The 19,345-nt window shown below is 45.4% G+C and overlaps 1 pseudogene, besides 4 other annotated features; it reads left to right on the top strand.

Annotated features, from left to right (window-relative positions):
- Window positions 2,006-2,505: an enhancer, noted in NCBI's record as "H3K27ac hESC enhancer chr18:48690189-48690688 (GRCh37/hg19 assembly coordinates)". NCBI's record gives its function as "activates a minimal SCP1, AML or CMV promoter by ChIP-STARR-seq in naive H9 embryonic stem cells {active_cell/tissue: H9 hESC(naive)}" and the evidence as "EXISTENCE:reporter gene assay evidence [ECO:0000049][PMID:30033119]".
- On the top strand, window positions 6,881-8,122 carry SRSF10P1 (serine and arginine rich splicing factor 10 pseudogene 1; annotated as a pseudogene).
- Window positions 11,989-12,118: an enhancer, noted in NCBI's record as "active region_13328". NCBI's record gives its function as "activates an Ori minimal core promoter by ATAC-STARR-seq in GM12878 lymphoblastoid cells {active_cell/tissue: GM12878}" and the evidence as "EXISTENCE:reporter gene assay evidence [ECO:0000049][PMID:35858748]".
- Window positions 14,303-14,352: an enhancer, noted in NCBI's record as "active region_13327". NCBI's record gives its function as "activates an Ori minimal core promoter by ATAC-STARR-seq in GM12878 lymphoblastoid cells {active_cell/tissue: GM12878}" and the evidence as "EXISTENCE:reporter gene assay evidence [ECO:0000049][PMID:35858748]".
- Window positions 14,363-14,522: an enhancer, noted in NCBI's record as "active region_13326". NCBI's record gives its function as "activates an Ori minimal core promoter by ATAC-STARR-seq in GM12878 lymphoblastoid cells {active_cell/tissue: GM12878}" and the evidence as "EXISTENCE:reporter gene assay evidence [ECO:0000049][PMID:35858748]".

Below are 19,345 nucleotides of genomic sequence, written 5' to 3'. Positions count from 1 at the left end.
GTGAGATCTTGCCACACTGCAGCCTGGGTGACAGAGCAAGACTCTGTCTCAAAAAAAAAAAAAAAAAAATGGCTGGGTGGTGGCTCACGCCTGTAATCCCAGCACTTTGGGAAGCCGAGGCAGGCAGATCACTTGAGGTCAGGATGTTTGAGACCAGCCTGGCCAACATGGTGAAACCCCATCTTTATTAAAAAACACAAAAATTAGCTGGGCATGGTAGCACAGGCCTGTAATCCCAGCTGAGTCAGGAGAATTGCTTGAACCCGGGAGGTGGAGATTGCAGTGAGCTGAGATCGTGCCACTGCATTCCAGCCTGGAAGACAGAGCAAGACTGTCTCAAAAAAAAAAAAAAATCCTAAATTCACAGTTTATATTAACAATGGTAAAACAAAGTCCTCTGGGTGTGAAATATTTCATTCATAAAAAAATACCTGCCTCTTCTGGGTTGTTCTTAGTAATCAGACTGCCCTGGCCACTCAAGTATTTGTTATTCTACATTACTGAGCACCTAGAACATGCAGGTGGCACTGTACTAGAGGCTTACCTATGACACCTATTATTTGAGGGGCCAGCCTTGCCCCTTAGCAGGTATAATACAGCATAGGACTTTTTTTTAGGATGGACTTGATCCCACACCAATGCTTCCATGAGATGCCCTGTGCCTTGACACCCTAGAGGCCTTGTGAGGGACTTCAAACCCTAACCTATCCCTGGGTCCTATAGGAGAACACTCCATTCTGACTAGCTGGCATGAGAAGGCACCTGAGGTATGGCACTGTGCAAAACTGGAAGGCAGGTTGGCAAATAACCCAGGGCGTGGGCTGGCCACATGGAGTTATCAGCATGCAGGGCATCCGGCCCAGCCCAGCCCAAACCCTGGGTGAGTTTAGAGTGGACAGAACCTCCATGCTGTTTCAGAAGAGGAGAGGGGACTAGCAGAGGAAAAATGTATTAATTCTGAGACTGACCAGGGAGAAACATCACAGAAAAAAGGTGACTATCAGCCCAGAAGTCCAGATACTTGACAGGAGGGTCCAATACAGAGAGCAGCTTGACCAGATAAGACTTATAGCCAAGGATGGAGTGCTGGCAAGGACAGGGTGATGACTTTCTGCCAGGGCCAACTGGACCTGGCCAAGCAGGCAGGCGGAGCTCTGGAGGTGGCGGCTGAAAACTCTGGGCCTGGATGGATCCTCAGGAAGTGCTTCCACCCCCTCCTCATCCCCAGGCCCTTCCCAGGCCTCTCATTGCCATCCAGCCACCCTCTTCCATTGTTCCCTCCCACTAACATTCATCAGTTGGGCCCAGCATTCTGCTTGGGGAAACAGACACATAAAAAGGACTCTGTCCTTAGCTAGCTGGGTCCTTCCCTCCCACTCAGCTCTCCCCTGGGGTTTAGGAAACAGGACTTCAATGCATTCTTCTGATGCTGATTGAATTCCTTCCTTCTGGGCAGCTTTGTGTGCCCTTGGCACAAAATGGGAAAGGGAGCAGGAAGGGTTTAAAATAGCATACAACTGGCCAATTTGCACACCAACATAGGCTAGCTATTACAAACCCCAAAATCCAGGTGATGCAATTTGTTCCAGCTGTCTTTGGCATGGGCTCTAGCGTGGGTTTGCATTTTTAAGAGCAACGGAAATAAACATACCAAGTGCAAATTCTGTTTCTGTTGCATGTGTTGGCGCCATTGCAAGGTGTGGTTGCAATTCAGATTGCAACTTGCTTTGGTGTCCGAATAAAATGTGGTTGTTATCCATTCTTGGCCACAGCTTCCCTCAGATGACTTGTGGTCATCAGGTGCTGTTGGAATCAGCAACTTCTAGGAACCAGAAACTGAGACTGCCATGAAAGGAAGCCACTTCTGGGCGCGGTATTTAAAGATATGTTAGACAGCTTCTAGAAATGGTCACCACAGGCCAGAGTCCCTGATTGCAAATAAATACTTTTAACGTAAAACACGTCACTCATGGAGAGTCCCTCCTTAGACATTTGAGAGGGCCAGCGTCATGAATACAGAGCGTTTATTTACAAAGGATGTTTTAAGTCACTTTATTAGTTACTATGTCTGTCATAACCAGGAAAGAACAGCCAGCCATCCTGGGATGTCGGTACTGGGCCATCCACTACATACACTAGGTTCACTTAGTAGCAGCTGAGTAACTCAGATTTGTGCCTAGGCAAAATAACAAATATATAGGTCGGGGACCTTCTGGGTGGCTTGGGAATGACTGTGTCTCAGTTGCACAAATGCCAAGGGCCTATAATAGACTTGTTGTCAAGCTAAGGGTTTTGAGGAGCATAGGGTCACTACACCTATAGATATTTTGTTTCCCTTCTTTGAAAGGAAGAAAGGCCGGGCGTGGTGGCCCACACCTGTGAGCCCAACAGTTTGGGAGGCTGAGGCAGACGGATGGCTTGAGCCCAGGTGTTTGAGACCAGCCTGGGCAACATGGCAAACCCCAACTCTACAAAAAATACAAAAATTAGCCAGACGTGGTGGCACATGCCTGTAGTCTCAGCTACTTGGAGGGCTGAGGCAAGAGGATCGCTTGAGCCTGGGAGGTAGAGGCTGGAGTAAGCTATGTTGGTGACACTGCACTTCAGCCTGGATGACAAAGCAAGACCCTATCTCAAAAAATTTAAAAAAAAAAAAGGGAAGAAATATCAGATATTTCAGATATCAAAAAAGGGAAGAAATATCAGATATCACCTTATCAGAATGTTCTAGAATTGCCTAATTTTTTTTTCCTCCTAATCTTTGATTTGAATGACTTTTTTTTAGGTCTCAAAGCATTTCACAGCTATTGTCTTCCTTTTTAAGGGCAGGAGAGGAGATCCTGGGTAAGGAAAGTGGCTGGGACATGAAAAGCCTTTTTGCTCAAAATCACATAATTATTCATCAGTTGAAAGTGGAATTAGAAACCAGGATTCCTACTGCCTAGTAAAATTTCTATTTTACATCCTGCTGCCTCTGTTACTTGGCTCTAATTTTCCTCCTACTTCCCCCTAGAAACGTCAACCTGTCACAGATACACACCTGAAATTCCACCATTAGAGCTTCATCTGTTTTGCTTAAGGGATGAATGTGAATTAAATTGCAACTCCTCCTAGAAGGAAGGTATCTTTAACTCAGGGATCAGCCAACCTTTTCTGCAAAGGACCAGATAATATTTTAGGTTTTGCAGACCATACAGTCTGTCGCAAGTATGCAACCTGCCTTTGTAGCACAAAAGCAGCCATAAACCATACAAGTGAACAAAACATTATTTATGGACACTGACATTTGAGTGTCATATGATTTCCACATATCACAAAATATTCTACTGAGTTTTTTTCAACCGTTTAAAAATGGAAAAATCATTCTTAGTTCATAGGCTGTACACAAACAGGCAGTGGGGCGCATTGGTGCAAAGGCTGTGTGGTTTACTAGTCCTTGCTCTAAGGTGTCCTTGGTCATTGGCTGTGCTTTGTGGGTAAAAGTTCTATTGAAAAGACTGGGTGAGAAAACTGAGTGAACAGGAAGCCACCAAGCACCCTAAGCAGGAGGTGGGGAGTGCAGACAGGTCACCACCATCTGCAGTGTGGCCACTGCTGTCTTGAAGCTGTACCTTGAGCCCATCTACAAGGCAGCAGCTGCCCACTGGACCGTCTGTGCAGCCACTGCATTTGGGGCACCCACTGGAGCCATTCAGACCCACTGTCCACCTAAGGGTAAGCCAGATGTTCCTACACGCTGCAGCTCAGCTGCTCCAATGTTCAGCTCCTTTCCTCCAACTCCCCCATCTGTCTGTTAGGATCCTTGCCTCGCCATAAAGAGGCTGAAAGGTCATTGTTCCATGTTGCTGTTAAATGCAAGAGACTTTGTTTCTGTTTTAAAATACAAAAACCATTCGAGGAGGAGGTTGTTGCTATAGACTGCCACATGGTAGACACTGGGCATAAGGTGCTATCATCTTGAAAGCACTTGCTCTTACTATCTCATTTGGTTCTCCTGGGCAGAGTAAATAAGAAGATGCAATTATCACCATTTTACACATGGAGAAACTAAGGCTCAGAAGTTAAAGTGACTTTCCTGAGGCGGAGCAGAGGAGGAGGGTCTGCATTTAGGTCTGACTCCAAAGCCCTGACTTCCAAAGCTTGCAGTGCACTGGGATGACTCCAGGAGGGCAGGTGTACAGAGAGTAGCTCCTGTAGAGCCCAGCCTCCTCCCACCCTCCCACCTGGATGAAGAGCTGGCTGAGCACTCATGGCCCAAAAAGGTGGCTGGCCACTCCCTGCAGCCTCAGACTCCCCCGGGTCTCACTGTGGGCCCTTCAGCCTGGCAGTTCCTCCATGGTCTTCTGCCACTTTGCCTGGGATGGAAAAGGGCTTCCATCCACTGGCAGTGCCCACTGCCTGCCCCATTCTCCCCTGCCCAGCAGCTCAGTCTCCAGGGAGCTCTGCCAGAGCCTCAAGGCCCTACTGGGTGAATAGCCCTCCCAGAAAAGCTTTTGTTCTTAGCTATTTACTAGCTTATTGTATGACATGCAGTCAGTACTCTGTATAAATTTGTTGCGTGGATACATGAATGAATTAACCTTCAGGTGCCCCAGAAATCCCACCATAAGATTCCCTGAGTTTAGCTCAGTGGCATAACCCACAGGGTTTTTTAGAATTTAGTCCAATTGGGCCAGGCGCGGTGGCTCATGCCTGTAATCCCAGCACTTTGGAAGGCCGAGGCGGGCGGATCACGAGGTCAGGAGATCCAGACCATCCTGGCTAACAAAATGAAACCCCGTCTCTACTAAAAATACAAAAAAATCAGCCGGGCATGGTGGCGGGCACCTGTAATCCCAGCTACTCGGGAGGCTGAGGCAGGAGAATGGCGTGAACCCGGGAGGCGGAGCTTGCAGTGAGCCAAGATCGCGCCACTGCACTCCAGCCTGGGCAACAGAGTGAGACTCCGTCTCAAAAAAAAAAAAAAAAGAATTTAGTCCAATTGGGTAAGCCTATTGTAAGGACACAGGGAGCATCCACTGGGCCTTGCTCTTCACACACATTCACTTCATCCTCATGGCTGTCTGCAGTCAGCACCCTCATCACCCTATTTTACAGAGCAAGGGACTGGGGCTCCGTAACATTGAGGAACTTGCTCAAGGTCACCCAGGTGGCCAGGGATGGGGTGAGGATTGGACCCTCTGAGGCCTGTTGTCTCCACACAGTTCTCACCGGCCTTTTATAGGCACTAACTCATGCAGGTAAAGGAGGCTCTAGAATTACATCAAAGGCAAATGGGTGCATGAGCCGTGCTGAAAAAGGAGGGAGCTCAGAGGCTCCCCCATGCCAGCCCCAACCAGTAGCACCAGGCACAGATAGGCTACGCTGGAACTTTGTGGAGCTGCATAGAGCTTGCTCCCTTTTCCCTGCAGGATGCATGCTGGAGGCTGGAATTCCAGTGCCAACACGGGCAGGTCCAGAAACCTGGTATCACAGCAGGCCTTTCTGCAGAAGCGAGTGGCCTGGATGTGCATGGATATGACTTGGCCCAATCTGAAGGACACTGACTCTCTCCTGGCCTGTGCTGTGCAGGAAATCCTGCCATAAAGTCACATGCCTTGGTGTGTCACTGCTTCTGGTTTTCAGGAATCCCTTATAAAAATGCATATTTAAAAAATAAAGAGGCCGGGTGTGGTGGCTCACACCTGTAATCCCAGCATTTTGGGAGGCCAAGGCAGGGGGATCACTTGAAGTCAGGAGTTCAAGACCAGCCTGGCCAACGTGGTGAAACCCCATCTCTACTAAAAATACAAAAATTAGTGAGGCATGGTGGCACATTCCTGTAATCCAAGCTATTCGGGAGGCTGAGGCAGAAGAATCATTTGAACCCAGAAGGTGGAGGTTGCAGTGAGCCAAGATCGCACCACTGCACTCCAGCCTGAGCAACAGAGCAAGACTCTATCTCAAAAATATAAAGAAAGAAAGAAAAATAGCTATGTGAGGTGAAAGGAGTCCTGGGGCAGAGGGGGACAGAAAAGGTCCTGATATCTAATTTACAACTTTGCCCTACCAGGCACGTGGCCTGCACCAGGCCTTCCTCACACCCACCAGGATGTGGACTCAGCCTCCCGGGACGTGCCCCATAGAGGATGATGGTGGCATGTGGGGCCAGAGGAACAGGGTGGGCTGCACCCCCCATAGCTCACAGCTTCCTTCTCATAGGTCTCCTCCGTGCTTTCTCACTGGCCACAGCTTCCTCCTTCTTCCTTTACGCAGCAGCCTCCCACTCCCCAGCTCCTGCTACCAGCTCCTCCATGCTTACATGCCCACAACCCGTGCTGAGCCCAGCAGACAAGAGCCTTCAGCTACCAAGACCCACCCTTCTTAGAAGGCAGGAAGAGAATTAGAAATAATAAGGTCTTTTTCTTGAGATTTGAAGTCAAAAGCTAGCTAGCGGCTGCATAGGGAATCCAGCTCAGCTCTCTCTGACATCAGAGCCTGAGGCTTCCAAGCCTGTGCCCTCGGCAGTGAGGCTGGTAGGTGGGATCACAAACCCCTCCTCCTCCCCGTCCCTGCCCTCTGCATCCCTGCTCGCCGCTCGCTAACACTGCTTCTAGTTTCTAGAGGCAGTTGCAGAGCCAAGTTTAAGGCTAAGGAGTCCAAAGGAGTCCGGCACTGAGGGTGAATTTCAGGCATGTGGCAGGCTGTGGGGAGAGATCATCAGTCTTCAGGTGACAGCCTTGTCTCCACCTGTGAGCAAGGTTGACAAGGGCAGAGGTAGCCTCACTGCCTTCAGCTTGTCTTCATTCAGGCTGTGGTCATTTCTATAGACTAGTGGTACCCAGACCATCAGCATGATCATCATCTAGGAACTTGTTAGAAATACGAATTTCTAACAGCAGAGCTATGGACAGTTTGCCTGGTCTGTTAGGGCCTCCGGCCTGGACTCACGCCACCATCATGTCCCACTACCTGCACACTCCTCCAAAACATGTCTCTGTCCATCAGGAACGTGGCCAATGACACCAGGTCTGCAGATAGACAGGATAAATTTGGTCATGATGGTCCTACAGGAAATGTTTATGTTCCACTTGATTTCCACACCCACCGTCCAAGAGGATTTGCTTGTGTTCAATTTGAGGATGTTTGTGATGCTGAAGATGCTTTGCATAATTTGGACAGGAAATAGATTTGTGGACATCAAGTTGAAATACAGTTTACACAGGGGGATCAGAAGACACCAAATCAGATGAAATCCAAGGAACAGAGGAATGTGTACAGCTCTTCACGCCATGATGGTTATGACAGATACAGAAGTTCTAGAAGCCAAAGTTATGAAAGGAGATCCAGAAGTCAGTCTTTTGATTACAATTATAGAAGATCTTACAGTCCTAGAAATCAACCAACTGGAAAACCACGGAGTAGCAGAAGCCATTCCGACAATGGTGGATTCAAACACCAAAATCCATCTTTTTCAAGATCTACATCTCATTCAAGGCAGCCCAAGGAAGAAGTGAAGGCTAAATCACATTCTAGGTCTGCATCTCACACCAGAACTAGAGGCACCTCTAAAACAGATTCCATGCTGGGTGCAGTGACTCACACCTTTAATCCCAGCAGTTTGAGAGGCTGAGGCTGGAAGATCACTTGAGCTCAGGAGTTTGAAACCAGCCTGGGCAATATGGCAAAATGCCATCTCTACAAAAAAAAAAAAAAAAAAAAAAAAAAAATTAGCCAGGCATGGTGGTGCATGCCTGTAGTCCCAGCTACTTGGGAGGCTGAGGTGGGAGGATTGCTTGAGACTGGGAGGTCAAGGCTGCAGTGAGCCTTGATTGTGCCACTACACTCCAGCCTGGGTGACAAAGCAAGACCCTGTCTCAAAAAGTAAGTAAAAATAAATAAATAAATAAGATTCCAAAGCATATTAAATAAGTCTGGCTCAAGATATGAAAAGGAATCAAAGAAAAAAAACTACTTATATCCAAATGTCAGTCAAGATCAAAGTCTAGTTCTAGATCAAAATCTACATCAAGGTATTGGACTGCTCCTAAATCCAATGGCCACTGATAATATAAACTATGGTTGTTTTTAGGCACATATCATTCATTTATTTATAGTTTGGTTTACTTAAATTATCAGGAATTGGCCAGGCATGGTGGCTCACCCTATAATCCTAGCACTTTGGGAGGCTGAGGTGGGCAGATCTCTTGAGCCCGGGAGTTTGGGACCAGCTTGGGCAACATGGTGAAACCCCTATCTCTACCAAAAATTAAAATATTAGCTGGGCATGGTGGTGTGCGCCTGTAGTACCAGATACTTGGGGCTGAAACAGGAGTATTGCTTGAGCCAAGGAGATCGAGGCTACAGTGAACCGAGATCACACCACTGCACTCCAGCCTGGGTGACAAAGTTAGACCCTGTCTCAAAAAAAAAAAAAAATCAGGAATACAATGTTGTAACAATACTTTAAAAACACTGTACCAGGCAATGGTAATAATTCAAATGATATGCTGTGGAGAAGCCACTTTTAAGAGTCAGTTTGTAACCCCGTCTCTACTAAACAAAATACAAAAATTAACCAGGTGTGGTGGCGGGCGCCTGTAGTCCCAGCTACTTGGGAGGCTGAGGCAGGAGAATGGCATGAACCCGGGTGGTGGAGCTTGCAGTGAGCCAAGATCGCAGCACCGCACTCCAGACTGGGAGACAGAGTGAGACTCCATCTCAAAAAAAAAAAAGAAGAGTCCAGTTTGTTTAATGTTATAGGTAACCACCAATTTGTGGTGTCCCTGTATATTTTTGTAAAGATTCTTTTTTTTGTGTTTGAAGTTTGTGGCAAAAAGATGTTGGTTGACCATAATTTGCAACATTTTTTTTTAAAAAAAAACAGGCTGTCTTGCTTTGTCACCCAGGCTAGAGTGCAGTGATGCAATCAAAGGTCATTGCAACCTCTAATTCTTGGGCTCAAGTGATCCTCCCACCACAACATCTCAAGTAGTTTGACTACAGGTGCACGCCACCATTCTTGGCTCATTTTAAAATTTTTTGTAGAGATGGGGTCTCGCCATGTTGTCCAGGCTGGTCTCAAAATCCTGGGCTCAAGCAAATCACCTGCTATGGCTTTCCAAAGTGTTGGGATTGCAGGTGTGAGCCACTGTGCCCGGCCTCACATTGTCTTATTAAAAATAAACTTTCATATTCATATTTGGTAGAACTGTTAACTTAGAAATGTAGCTTGCTAATAAGATAGAATGATACAAAAGTGAAGTTGTAACCACAGTAAAGCACTACTGCTCAGACACATTTAGGTTCAGGCTGGGCCTGGTTGTCCTGACAAGATGTCTAGGCCTGTGATAATCATTTGTCTATCATGCAATGGGGAATAGTTCTTTTGTTAACCCCACTGTTTTAGGGAATGATGCCAGCTGGATTATGCAGTATTTTCAGGGAGATTGAGTTTTGACTGAAACGTGGAGTCTTCACTAGTTCTTTTGGTTTCTATGAAGATTTGGACATAGAAAACATGAGAAAAACTTACCTTAAAATTTGAGCAGGTCAGTGATGGCAGAAATAATTTTAAGGGGAACAGAATGTCCCTATGCAATTATTCTAAGATTTAAGGAGCACTGGTGACCATAGTATTTCTTTGTTTTCATACTGCTGTTAGAAGCAAGTAAATTGTTTCAAAGTAGGTTTTGCACGTGCATATGTAAAAGTACTGAATTTTAGGCTGGGTGCAGTGGCTCACAGCTGTAATCCCAGCACTTTGGGAGGCCAAGGAAGGCGGATCACCTGAGGTCAGGAGTTCAAGACCAGCGTGGCCAACATGGTGAAACCCCGTCTCTACTAAAAATACGAAAATTAGCCAGACGTGGTGGCACATGCCTGTAATCCCAGCTACTTGGGAGACTGAGGCAGAAGAATCACTTGAACTCGGAAGGCGGAGGTTGCAGTGAGCCGAGATCACGCCATTGCACTCCAGCCTGGGTGACAGAGTGAGACTTCATCTCAAAAAAGTAAAAAATAAAAGTACTAAATTTTGATGCTTGCAGTACATGGCGTGTGCGTTTGTAGACAAATTTGCCTACCTCTTTATGAGGGAGGCTTGCTCTTCACGCCTCAGTTTATTTAATGTGAGCTAAGATGAAAGACAGCACTTCATTCTAGATGATTCTGTTGTTCCATGAAATTCAAAGTAATTTTGGAAAAAGAATTAGTCAACTTTCAGCAAGTCACATCTCTGAGTTTTTGGTTATCAATGTAATGCCTGACTAAAAATGGAGTAATACGCTTCATTTATTATACCCTTCATTCAATATATCATTTATAATTTAAAGCATTTCTCTGAAAGATTGTTTTGGGGGCAAAAGTGACTTGACATGTCCAATCTCATTTCAGAATAGAAAGCTAGCATCTTTTAAAATCTGACATGCTTGCTTACATATTTAAGTACGAATTATCTTAGGGAAACAATTCCTTTGAAAGGATTACTTTTTTCCATTTTGGTTTTAGTAATCTAGGTTTTGCCTGTAAAGAACAAAAACATGGCTTTTAAATATTGTTTGTGGAATGTGTTTATAAAGGATTGATTCTAGAACCTTTGTATATTTGATAGTGTTTCTAACTTTCATTTCTTTACCATTTGCAGTTAATGTCCAAGTTCTGCTATGCATCATTTACGTGCACGTTTCTATAATTTTTTAAGATTGTCCTGGATGTCTGGTTAAACAACAAAAAGTCTATTTAAAACTGTAGCAATAGTTTGAACTTGTAGCAAAGAGGAAAATTGTGGGGTTAAACTTCGTATTTTCTTTCTTATAGAAGCTTCTAAAAAGGTACTTTTATGTATTCTTTTTAGGAAATATTGTGTACAGCTTTTAAAACATCAATGTTTGGATCAAAACAAGACCCAGCTTATTTTCTGCTTGCTGTAAAATAAGCAAACGTGCTATAATGAAAACAAAATGAAGGAAATAATGGTTAACTGGAAAGAAAGAAAAAAAAAAAAAAGAAAGGCAAATTCTCTGTTCCATTCCAGGCCCAATGGATCAGAAACTTTGTGGGTGGGCCTGAGATCCACTTGGCTGGATCAGGGGTCCCTGAGTTTTTGTATTGCCTGCCCTGACCACAGGACAAAAAGTTGTTCATGTACCCAAACATTCTGATTATTTAATTTTATAAATTACTTCTGCATACTTCCGTGTGACATTGCACTATCATGCTATTATTTTTTAACATCCAAAAAAGAAGAGTAAAAAGGATGAGATAAAGGTGAAATTAAAAATATTTTAAATGTCTTATTACCCTCTCTTGGCACAATACGCACTTCAGACAACATCCAACCAGAATGATTATGGATGTAAAGCCGTATTTCAAATAGTCTTCTGGATGATTGCAATTTCAGCCAACTCTTCAAGGTCTGAGGAAAGTGCTGCTGTTTTCATTTCATAACGTGGCTGGGGGCAGAGGAGGGAGGGTCAGCTCTGCCATGTGGGGGCTGCGTGGTATGATTTCATATTAGTGTTATCTTCAGTCCAAGATTTCTTTTCAACATTGTTTTAAAGCCACTTATCCTTTTTGGGAGCCTTAGTTGACTTAAAAATAGATAATAGAATATCTAAATTCCCTTTGGTGGGCACTATGTAAGTTGCAATTTGATGAAATCCCCGCTCTTCCTCCCACAAAGTACTCCTCCTACACAGCCGTCTAAGGCACGTGAGTCCCTCAACGTTCAAAATTACTAACATTGCACAGCTTTTTCTTTCATGTTGGAAGCAAAATGTTAATCTGAGTAGATGCACTATTATTTTTCTTTCCTTAAGCCCTCTGGGATGTATGTACTCCACTTTGGAGACCCCTGCTCCAGACTGAACACATCACCCCTCCACTTCCCTTGAAAGCCCTGTGGAGTCCCTCAAGAGATTTCATCAATCCAGAGGCTCAGCCAACAGCTGCACAGTTTGCCTAAGGAAGGCTCAGTCCAGGGGGCTCGCAGGAGACCACATATCCCCCTTTCCTCCGTGACTAGTCCACCCTGAGTTTCTGTTACCACTCAAGAGGCTCAGACACAGGAGTGTGGAGTCTCGCCCGCAGCCAGCATGGCAGGGGCAGCTGCTAGACAGCCCCAGGCAGGCGGCACTGGGCCCTGACCCCACATGCCAGGCCCTATCCAGCGGCTACCACAGGCAGTGGGCCAAGGGGCTTTCCCTGTGGGCAGCCCCAGCTGGCGGGCGAAGGCTGGGGGAATACGAGGTAGGGGCAGCTGCGACACCAGCTTCTTGTGGCATTTCTGAAATCTCATTTCCTGCCATAATTCTGAAGCAGGTGTTTCTGTTTTTTAGAGCGTCTTCAGTTGCTATTCTGGTCGTGTGAGTCGCTAGTTTTTTCCAAAGACTGAACTGCTATTTTTTCCTCTGGTGGAGGCATGGTGAGCAGCTGGTCCCCCCACCAGGATCAGTTGGGTAGCAGGCCAGCCCCCCTCGGCCAGCCCTGGCCTGGGGGCATGGGGACCCTTCACAGACTGAGTTGAGGAGCCACAGGGGAGCAGGGAGTACCGTCCGCTGAGCGGCCACCCAGCACTTTGTGTTTCAGTTCGCACTGAGCATGTAGTGTGCACCTGCCTTGCCCAGGAGAAGCAAAACAAAAACAAGCCAGGTCCCCAGCGCCTGTCTGGGGGACCTCAGCCCCACAGGGCATTGGGAGTGGCTGGAGTCAAACCCAGGCCTAGGGAGAGGCAGGTAAAGAGCTTCTTAAGTGAAATACCAGGGTCTCAAATCCAAGAATTTTAGATCTGGAGTTTCCAAACACCCTGAGACTCATACCAGACACATTCAGTAGGTCCTCTCTACAAGACTTTTAGTTTTCATTTGAATTAAAGTCTTAAAAATTAATGTAAACACATCTGACATCAGATGATCATCTCACAACTCTCACAACTAAGTATGTCTAGAGATCTCAGAGCCAAATAGTAGTAATTTTATAGGACGGAGCAGAGGATTTCATTTGTAAACGCCACAATAGTGTTCTGTATAGTGAAATGTTGCAATTTTTCCAATAGAGGCAAGATTTGGAAGAGCCCCATCATCAGACCACACAGCCTGGGTATCACTGAGTGCAGCATTCATGGTGTTTGAGTTCAGAAAAACAACATAGCAAGTCACATTAATGTGCTAACAAGTTCGGGTGGTTTTTCAGGAACTTTTGGTGTTTTCTTTGTACACTGATTTTGGTTTTAGAATTACTTAAGAGCCATTAAAATATATAGAAGTTAAATAATTTTATGGCTGGGTGCGGTGGCTCACACCTGTAATCCCAGCACTTTGGGAGGCCAAGGCGGGCGGATCACGAGGTCAGGAAATCGAGACCATCCTGGCTAATACGGTGAAACACCGTCTCTACTAAAAATATAAACAATTAGCCAGGCATTGGGGTGCATGCCTGTAATCCCAGCTACTGGGGAGGCTGAGGCAGGAGAATGGCGTGAACCCAGGAGGCGCAGTTTGCGGTGAGCCGAGATCGCGCCACTGCACTCCAGCCTGGGCGACAAAGCAAGACACCTTCTCAAAAAATAAAAATAAAAAATTATGTTCGTACTTATTTAAGTAATATGATAAACAAAATAATTTCAGTCATCCCTAGGGAATCATACGATTTCTGGTTTCCTTTGTGTAACAGAGGTTTGTACCTGACTCCGATGTAAAAACCATTACTCTCATGTTTGAATCAGATAGCTAGAATTATCTACAACAAAGGCTCATGCTGGAAGAATTAAAGCGAGGTCTTTCAGGGCTTAGGACTAGCAAAGATAGGGGGCCCTAGGGAAGCCTGTTGTCCCTAGCGTGTTTACTGGGAGCTGAGGTTAAGCAGACGCGGAAGAGGTAAAAAAAAAAAAAATAAAAAATAAGAGGCGAGGCTAACATCTAGGGAAGAAACAGCAAGCCTGTCTGCGGGGGCCACCAGAGGGCATGTTCACTACCAGCAACACACACACGCGCGCACACACACACCCACACACGCCCACACAGCCCCGGAGGCCACGGGAGACAGGTGAGGCCATCGCCCTGGGAGTGACAAAGTGACTCCTCACCTGCTCCACTGCCTTGGGGGCAGGGGAGTGTATGACACTTCAAGCGCTCACTGACTGTTCCTTGCCAGTGGATTGGGGGGTCCCAGTGATTAGGTCTGGGCTGTCATGGTCAGGAGGGCCACAGCTTTCCTCAGGTTGTTCCTCAGACATCTCAGAAACCACACTGACCACAGGAGCAAAACAAGAAGCACAGCTGTGCAAGAGGTATACAGCCAGAAGTGGCCAAATTTATGCCAGCCAATAAAGAAGCCCATAATGCGGCAAGGCTCTAGTCCTGCCACCCGCGGTGTGGGGACACGACGAAGGAGCAAGTCCAATCAACAGTCCTCCGCGTCCCTCCAGCAGTTGAGTCAGGAAGTCAGGTGCCAGGTCCTCTCGGGACAGAAACTCCAGAGATCTGGGTTTTCTGCCCTCTGAGACTGGACCTGCGAGAATCTTCTTATTTGGAAGGAGGTGGTTGGTAAAGGAAGACAAAATAAGGCTGGAAACAGACCCAGACACATTTAGAAACAAACGGAGCAAATGAAGCACTGGGGAGAGTCACTTTCTGAAAGCCAGACACCTCAGGACCATGTGGGTGGGGTGTTTCCAGGGAGGACGGAAACTTTCACCATCACCTTCCTGTCAACTGAGTGTCTGACCCCACCCCAAGTGTACTTGTGTGCTAGGACCGCCGTAATAAAATACCACACTGGGCAGTGTCAACAACAGACATTCATTTTCTCACAGTTCTAGAGGCTGGAAGTCCAAAATGGAGGTGTTGCAGGGCTGGTTTCTCTTGCTGCTCCTCTCCTCAGCTCGCAGCTGGCCGCCTTCTGCAGTGCCTTCACATGGTGCCCACCTTCTGCAGTGCCCAGCTTCTGCAGTGCCTGCCTTCTGCAGTGCCCACCTTCTCCAGTGCCCGCCTTCTGCAGTGCCTGCCTTCTCCAGTGCCTGCCTTCTCCAGTGCCTGCCATCAGCAGTGCTCACCTTCTGCAGTGCCTTCACATGGGCTTTGCTCTGTGACCGTGCATACGTGGCATCTCCTCCTCCTCTTATTGTAAGGACACTGTGCCACCATAGGAGGGGGGCCAGACCTTTATGACCTCACTTAACCTTAATTACCTCTTTAAAGGTCTGATTTCCAGGCCAGGCAATACCAGCACTTTGGGAGGCAGAGATGGGTTGATCAACTGAGGTCAGGGGTTTGGGACCAGCCTGGCCAACATGGCAAAAACCCGTCTCTACTAAAAATATAAAAATTAGCCAGCCATGGTGGCAGGCACCTATAATCCCAGCTACTGGGGAGGCTGAGGCAGGAGAATCAATTGAACATGGGAGGCGAAGGTTGCAGTGAGCCAAGAGCACACCACTGCATGCTAGCCTGGGCGACACAGTAAGACTGTGTCTCAAAATAAATAAATAAATAAATAAAGGTCTGATTTCCAAATACGGTTACATGCTGAGGTATTGGGGGTTAGGATTTCAATATAGGAATTTTGCGGGGAGACAATTCAGTCCATAACAACGATAAAATCGCATTGTGCAAGGTGTGGAGGTCCTGGGCTGGAGCTCTGTCCTTACTGAGCCCCTACCTGCAGTGGCAGCTTCATTCACCTTCATGAGAAGATGAAGCAGTAGCTCCAGGAGTGGCCCATCTCTCACCCTTCCTCAGCCCCTGGCAAGGATGAGGTAACACCGACCTTTGGCCCAGACTCCTGTCTTTGAACTACAGGGCACTGAACCCACACCGAGAGCTCACTGTGTCTATCATGGTGAAGGTGGAACAGAGACTATTTTCTAGGTAGACCTCCACGGCACTGGGCCCTGGGCACAGATCCAAAATCTCAGCACAGCATGGGCTGCCTCAGGTGCCCTTTTGGATGAAGAGACACCATTACTGGGACAGCTAAGCAATACATAGAGCTCCCAGGCCTGGCTAGAACACACCTCTGACTCCAGATGCAACATCACATGCTGGGCCATGAGTCACCTCTCTCAGACACTGCAGATTCCGAGGAGCTATGGGACTTAGACTGCTTTGCTGGCAGCTATACTCTATGCCTGCTCAATGGGTCTTCATCAAGTATAGTTAGTAGTATCGAGCTTCTACTTCCGCTAATGTCAGAATAGGTAAACCAGAACAATTGTCCCACCAAGAACAACTAGAAAAGCTGGACTAATATGAAAATTATTGAAGGCATCAAAGAGCCCAGATGAGAGTGAAAAATTACTGAGCCAAGATCTCTGGAGAGCAGAAACTCAAGCAGATAAGGCAGGTTTCTGGGGCCTAGATGCATTTACTGATTGTACAGACAGCTGATAAGACTGAGCATGGCTTTTGAAAGCTTCATAGGCTGCTGGGCGTGGCTGTGCAACAGCAGTAGCATATAAATCAGAAGTGGAGTGGATGGAATTAATGTCTTTCTGAGGCACTCATATTGTCTGAGAAGAGGTAAAGGTACTAATTCCTTCTGGAATTTGATAACTCAAGTATGTTGCAATATCTGTTTGACCAACAAAGATCTTATTTTTAAAAATATGTAACTACTGGCTGGGCGCGGTGGCACATGCCTGTAATCTCAGCACTTTGGGAGGCCGAGGCAGGTGGATCACCTGAGGTCAGGAGTTAAAGACCAGGCTGACCAACGTGGAAAAACACCGTCTCTTCTAAAATTACAAAATTAGATAGGCATGGTGGTGCATGCCTGTAATCCCAGCTACTTGGGAGGCTGAGGCAGGAGAATTGCTTGAACCCGGGAGGCAGAGGTGGCAGTGAGCCAAGATCATGCCATTGCACTCCAGCCTGGGCAACAAGACCGAAACTCCATCTCAAAAAAAAAAAAAAAAAGTAACTATCAAGTTAAGAGATGAGAAAATTGAATAATTTTTTAAAAGACAACAAAGAAAAGAGAACATAGACTAACTGGGGCAAAGAGAGAGTAAATAATAACATTTACACTCAAGTGAATCAGTAATTACATTAAATATAAATGGGCTAAATGCTCTAATTAAAATATAAAAATTGTCTGGCTTAATTAAAAAAAACAAAACCCAATTATAAGGTGCTTGCAGGAAGCATGCTTAAGAAACACAGAATGGTAAAATTAAAGTATGAAAAAAGATACAGCAATCAAAAACCTAAAGAAAGTTGGGGTAGCAATATTAATATCAGAAAAAAATAGATTTAAAAGCAAGAAACATTACTAGAGGTAAAGAGGTCTTTTATAATAATGATAGCTTTAATTTACCAGAAAGAGCTAGCAAATCTATATTTGCATGTATATAACAGCATTGACTCAAAAATGTAGAAAGTAACTAGAACTAAAAGAAAAAATAGACAAATCCAAAATTATAGTTAGGAAACCGTAATGCATTTTTTTCCCAAAACTTTGAGGAAAACAAACAAAAATTCTGAAAGGAATCTAAAGGACACACCATAACTGGAGAAACTGACCCCAAATAGCCAATACCAAGACATATTCTAGTAAAATATTAGACTTTAGAAAAAAAAGGAAAAAGTCTTTTGGATACATAGGCAAAAACACCAAGTAACTTACAGGAGAAAGAAAATGTGCTTGTCAAAAAACATTTCGATAGCAACATTTTATGTCAGAAGAAAATGAGTAAGCTATTTAAGATACTCAAGGAAAGAAGATAAAGGCCAAGATTTTTTGTTTATCTAGCCAAGTTAACTTCTTATTTGTTTGTTTGAGACGGAGTCTCTCTCTGTCGCCCAGGCTGGAGTGCAGTGGTGCAATCTCAGCTCACTGCAACCTCCGCCTCCCAGGTTCAAGCAATTCTCCTGCCTCAGCCTTTCAAGTAGCTGGGATTACAGGCGCCCGCCACCACGCCCAGCTAATTTTTTATATTTTTAGTAGAGACGGGGTTTCGCCATGTTGGACAGGCTGGTCTCAAACTCCTGACCTCAGGTGATCCACCCGCCTCGGCCTCCCAAAGTGCTGGGATTACAAGCATGAGCCACCGCGCCCGGCCAATTTTTTGTATTTTTTGTAGAGACAGGTTTTCACCATGTTAGCCAGGCTGGTCTCGAACTCCTGACCTCAAGTAATCCGCCTGCCTCAGCCTGCCAAAGTGCTGGGATTACAAGTGTGAGCCACCACACCCGGCCCAAATTAACTTTCAATATGAATATTGCAGAAGAATTACATGCAAAACATTAAAAAGGATATTAATTCTATAGCCTTTTCTTAGGAAACTGCTAAGGAATGGCATTTTGATGTGTGTGTGTGTAAAACTTGAGACTGCATGAAGGATATAAAAGAAAAAGTACACGTATGATACTAACTGTATGCTCCCTAGAAGAGGAAGAGCAAGAGCAGGGCGAAGTAGAATGGGGCGAGAATACACACACAAAATAATCTTTCCAACTGTTTTCAGTAACCAAATTTGGATAGTAGTATATCATTTTCCACTAAAAGAAACCACTGCTTCAGGGAAAAATGTCTGGGACAAGAATTGTACAAGATGAGCCTGGAGCATCTCGTTTTACCAGATGGAAAAGAAGCTTTCAGAAACACAGGAGCCAACTAGCACTCCAACTGCCCAAATATGGGACAATTTGAACATCCAGGGTAATTACTGCAATGGATGAAACACATCAAATGTGTTTAAATCCATTGGTTCATTAGAACACACACACACAAAAATTCAAATTGGTTACCCTTGGAGGATTGCTGAGAAACCAAGTCTCTATTTGGAAAACTGGTAGGGAAAGGGAAATAATTAAGCATTTATCTTGCCTTTTCTATTGAACTGTACAATTGGGAATTAAATAGTAGATGAGGTAAATTTTCTCTTTCTAGAAGTATTCTAGCAAATGAATGAAGGAGGAATGATAGAACTATAATATCACTATTTTGCAACCTTGAATGAATTGATGCACCTAGACATTGAACACCAATACCTTCTAAATCTCATAAAGAGGGAATTCCAGACATTTGGTGCCTCCTTATAGAAAAAAACAAAAACCAAGCAACTATTCATGAAGACTTGTCAAAAAACAACAACAAAACCAACATAATTCTGATTAGTCCTCTACCGTCAATTACTAATCTACAAGAAATACAGAGGATAGAGGAATATGTTAAATTATGCCATGGAAATGTAATCAGCAAAATTCAGAATATGGCCGGGTGTGGTGGCTCACGCCTATAATCCTAGCACCCTTGGAGGCTGAGGCAGGCAGATTGCTTCAGCCCAGGACTTCAAGACCAGCCTGGGCAACATGGTGAAGGCCTGTCTCCAAAATAAAACAAAAATCAGCTGGGCATGGTGGTGCGC

This window comes from Homo sapiens, chromosome 18 (assembly GCF_000001405.40).
Source record: "Homo sapiens chromosome 18, GRCh38.p14 Primary Assembly".
NCBI classification, from domain to species: domain Eukaryota; kingdom Metazoa; phylum Chordata; class Mammalia; order Primates; family Hominidae; genus Homo; species Homo sapiens.
This window is presented reverse-complemented; position numbering and strand designations above follow the sequence as displayed.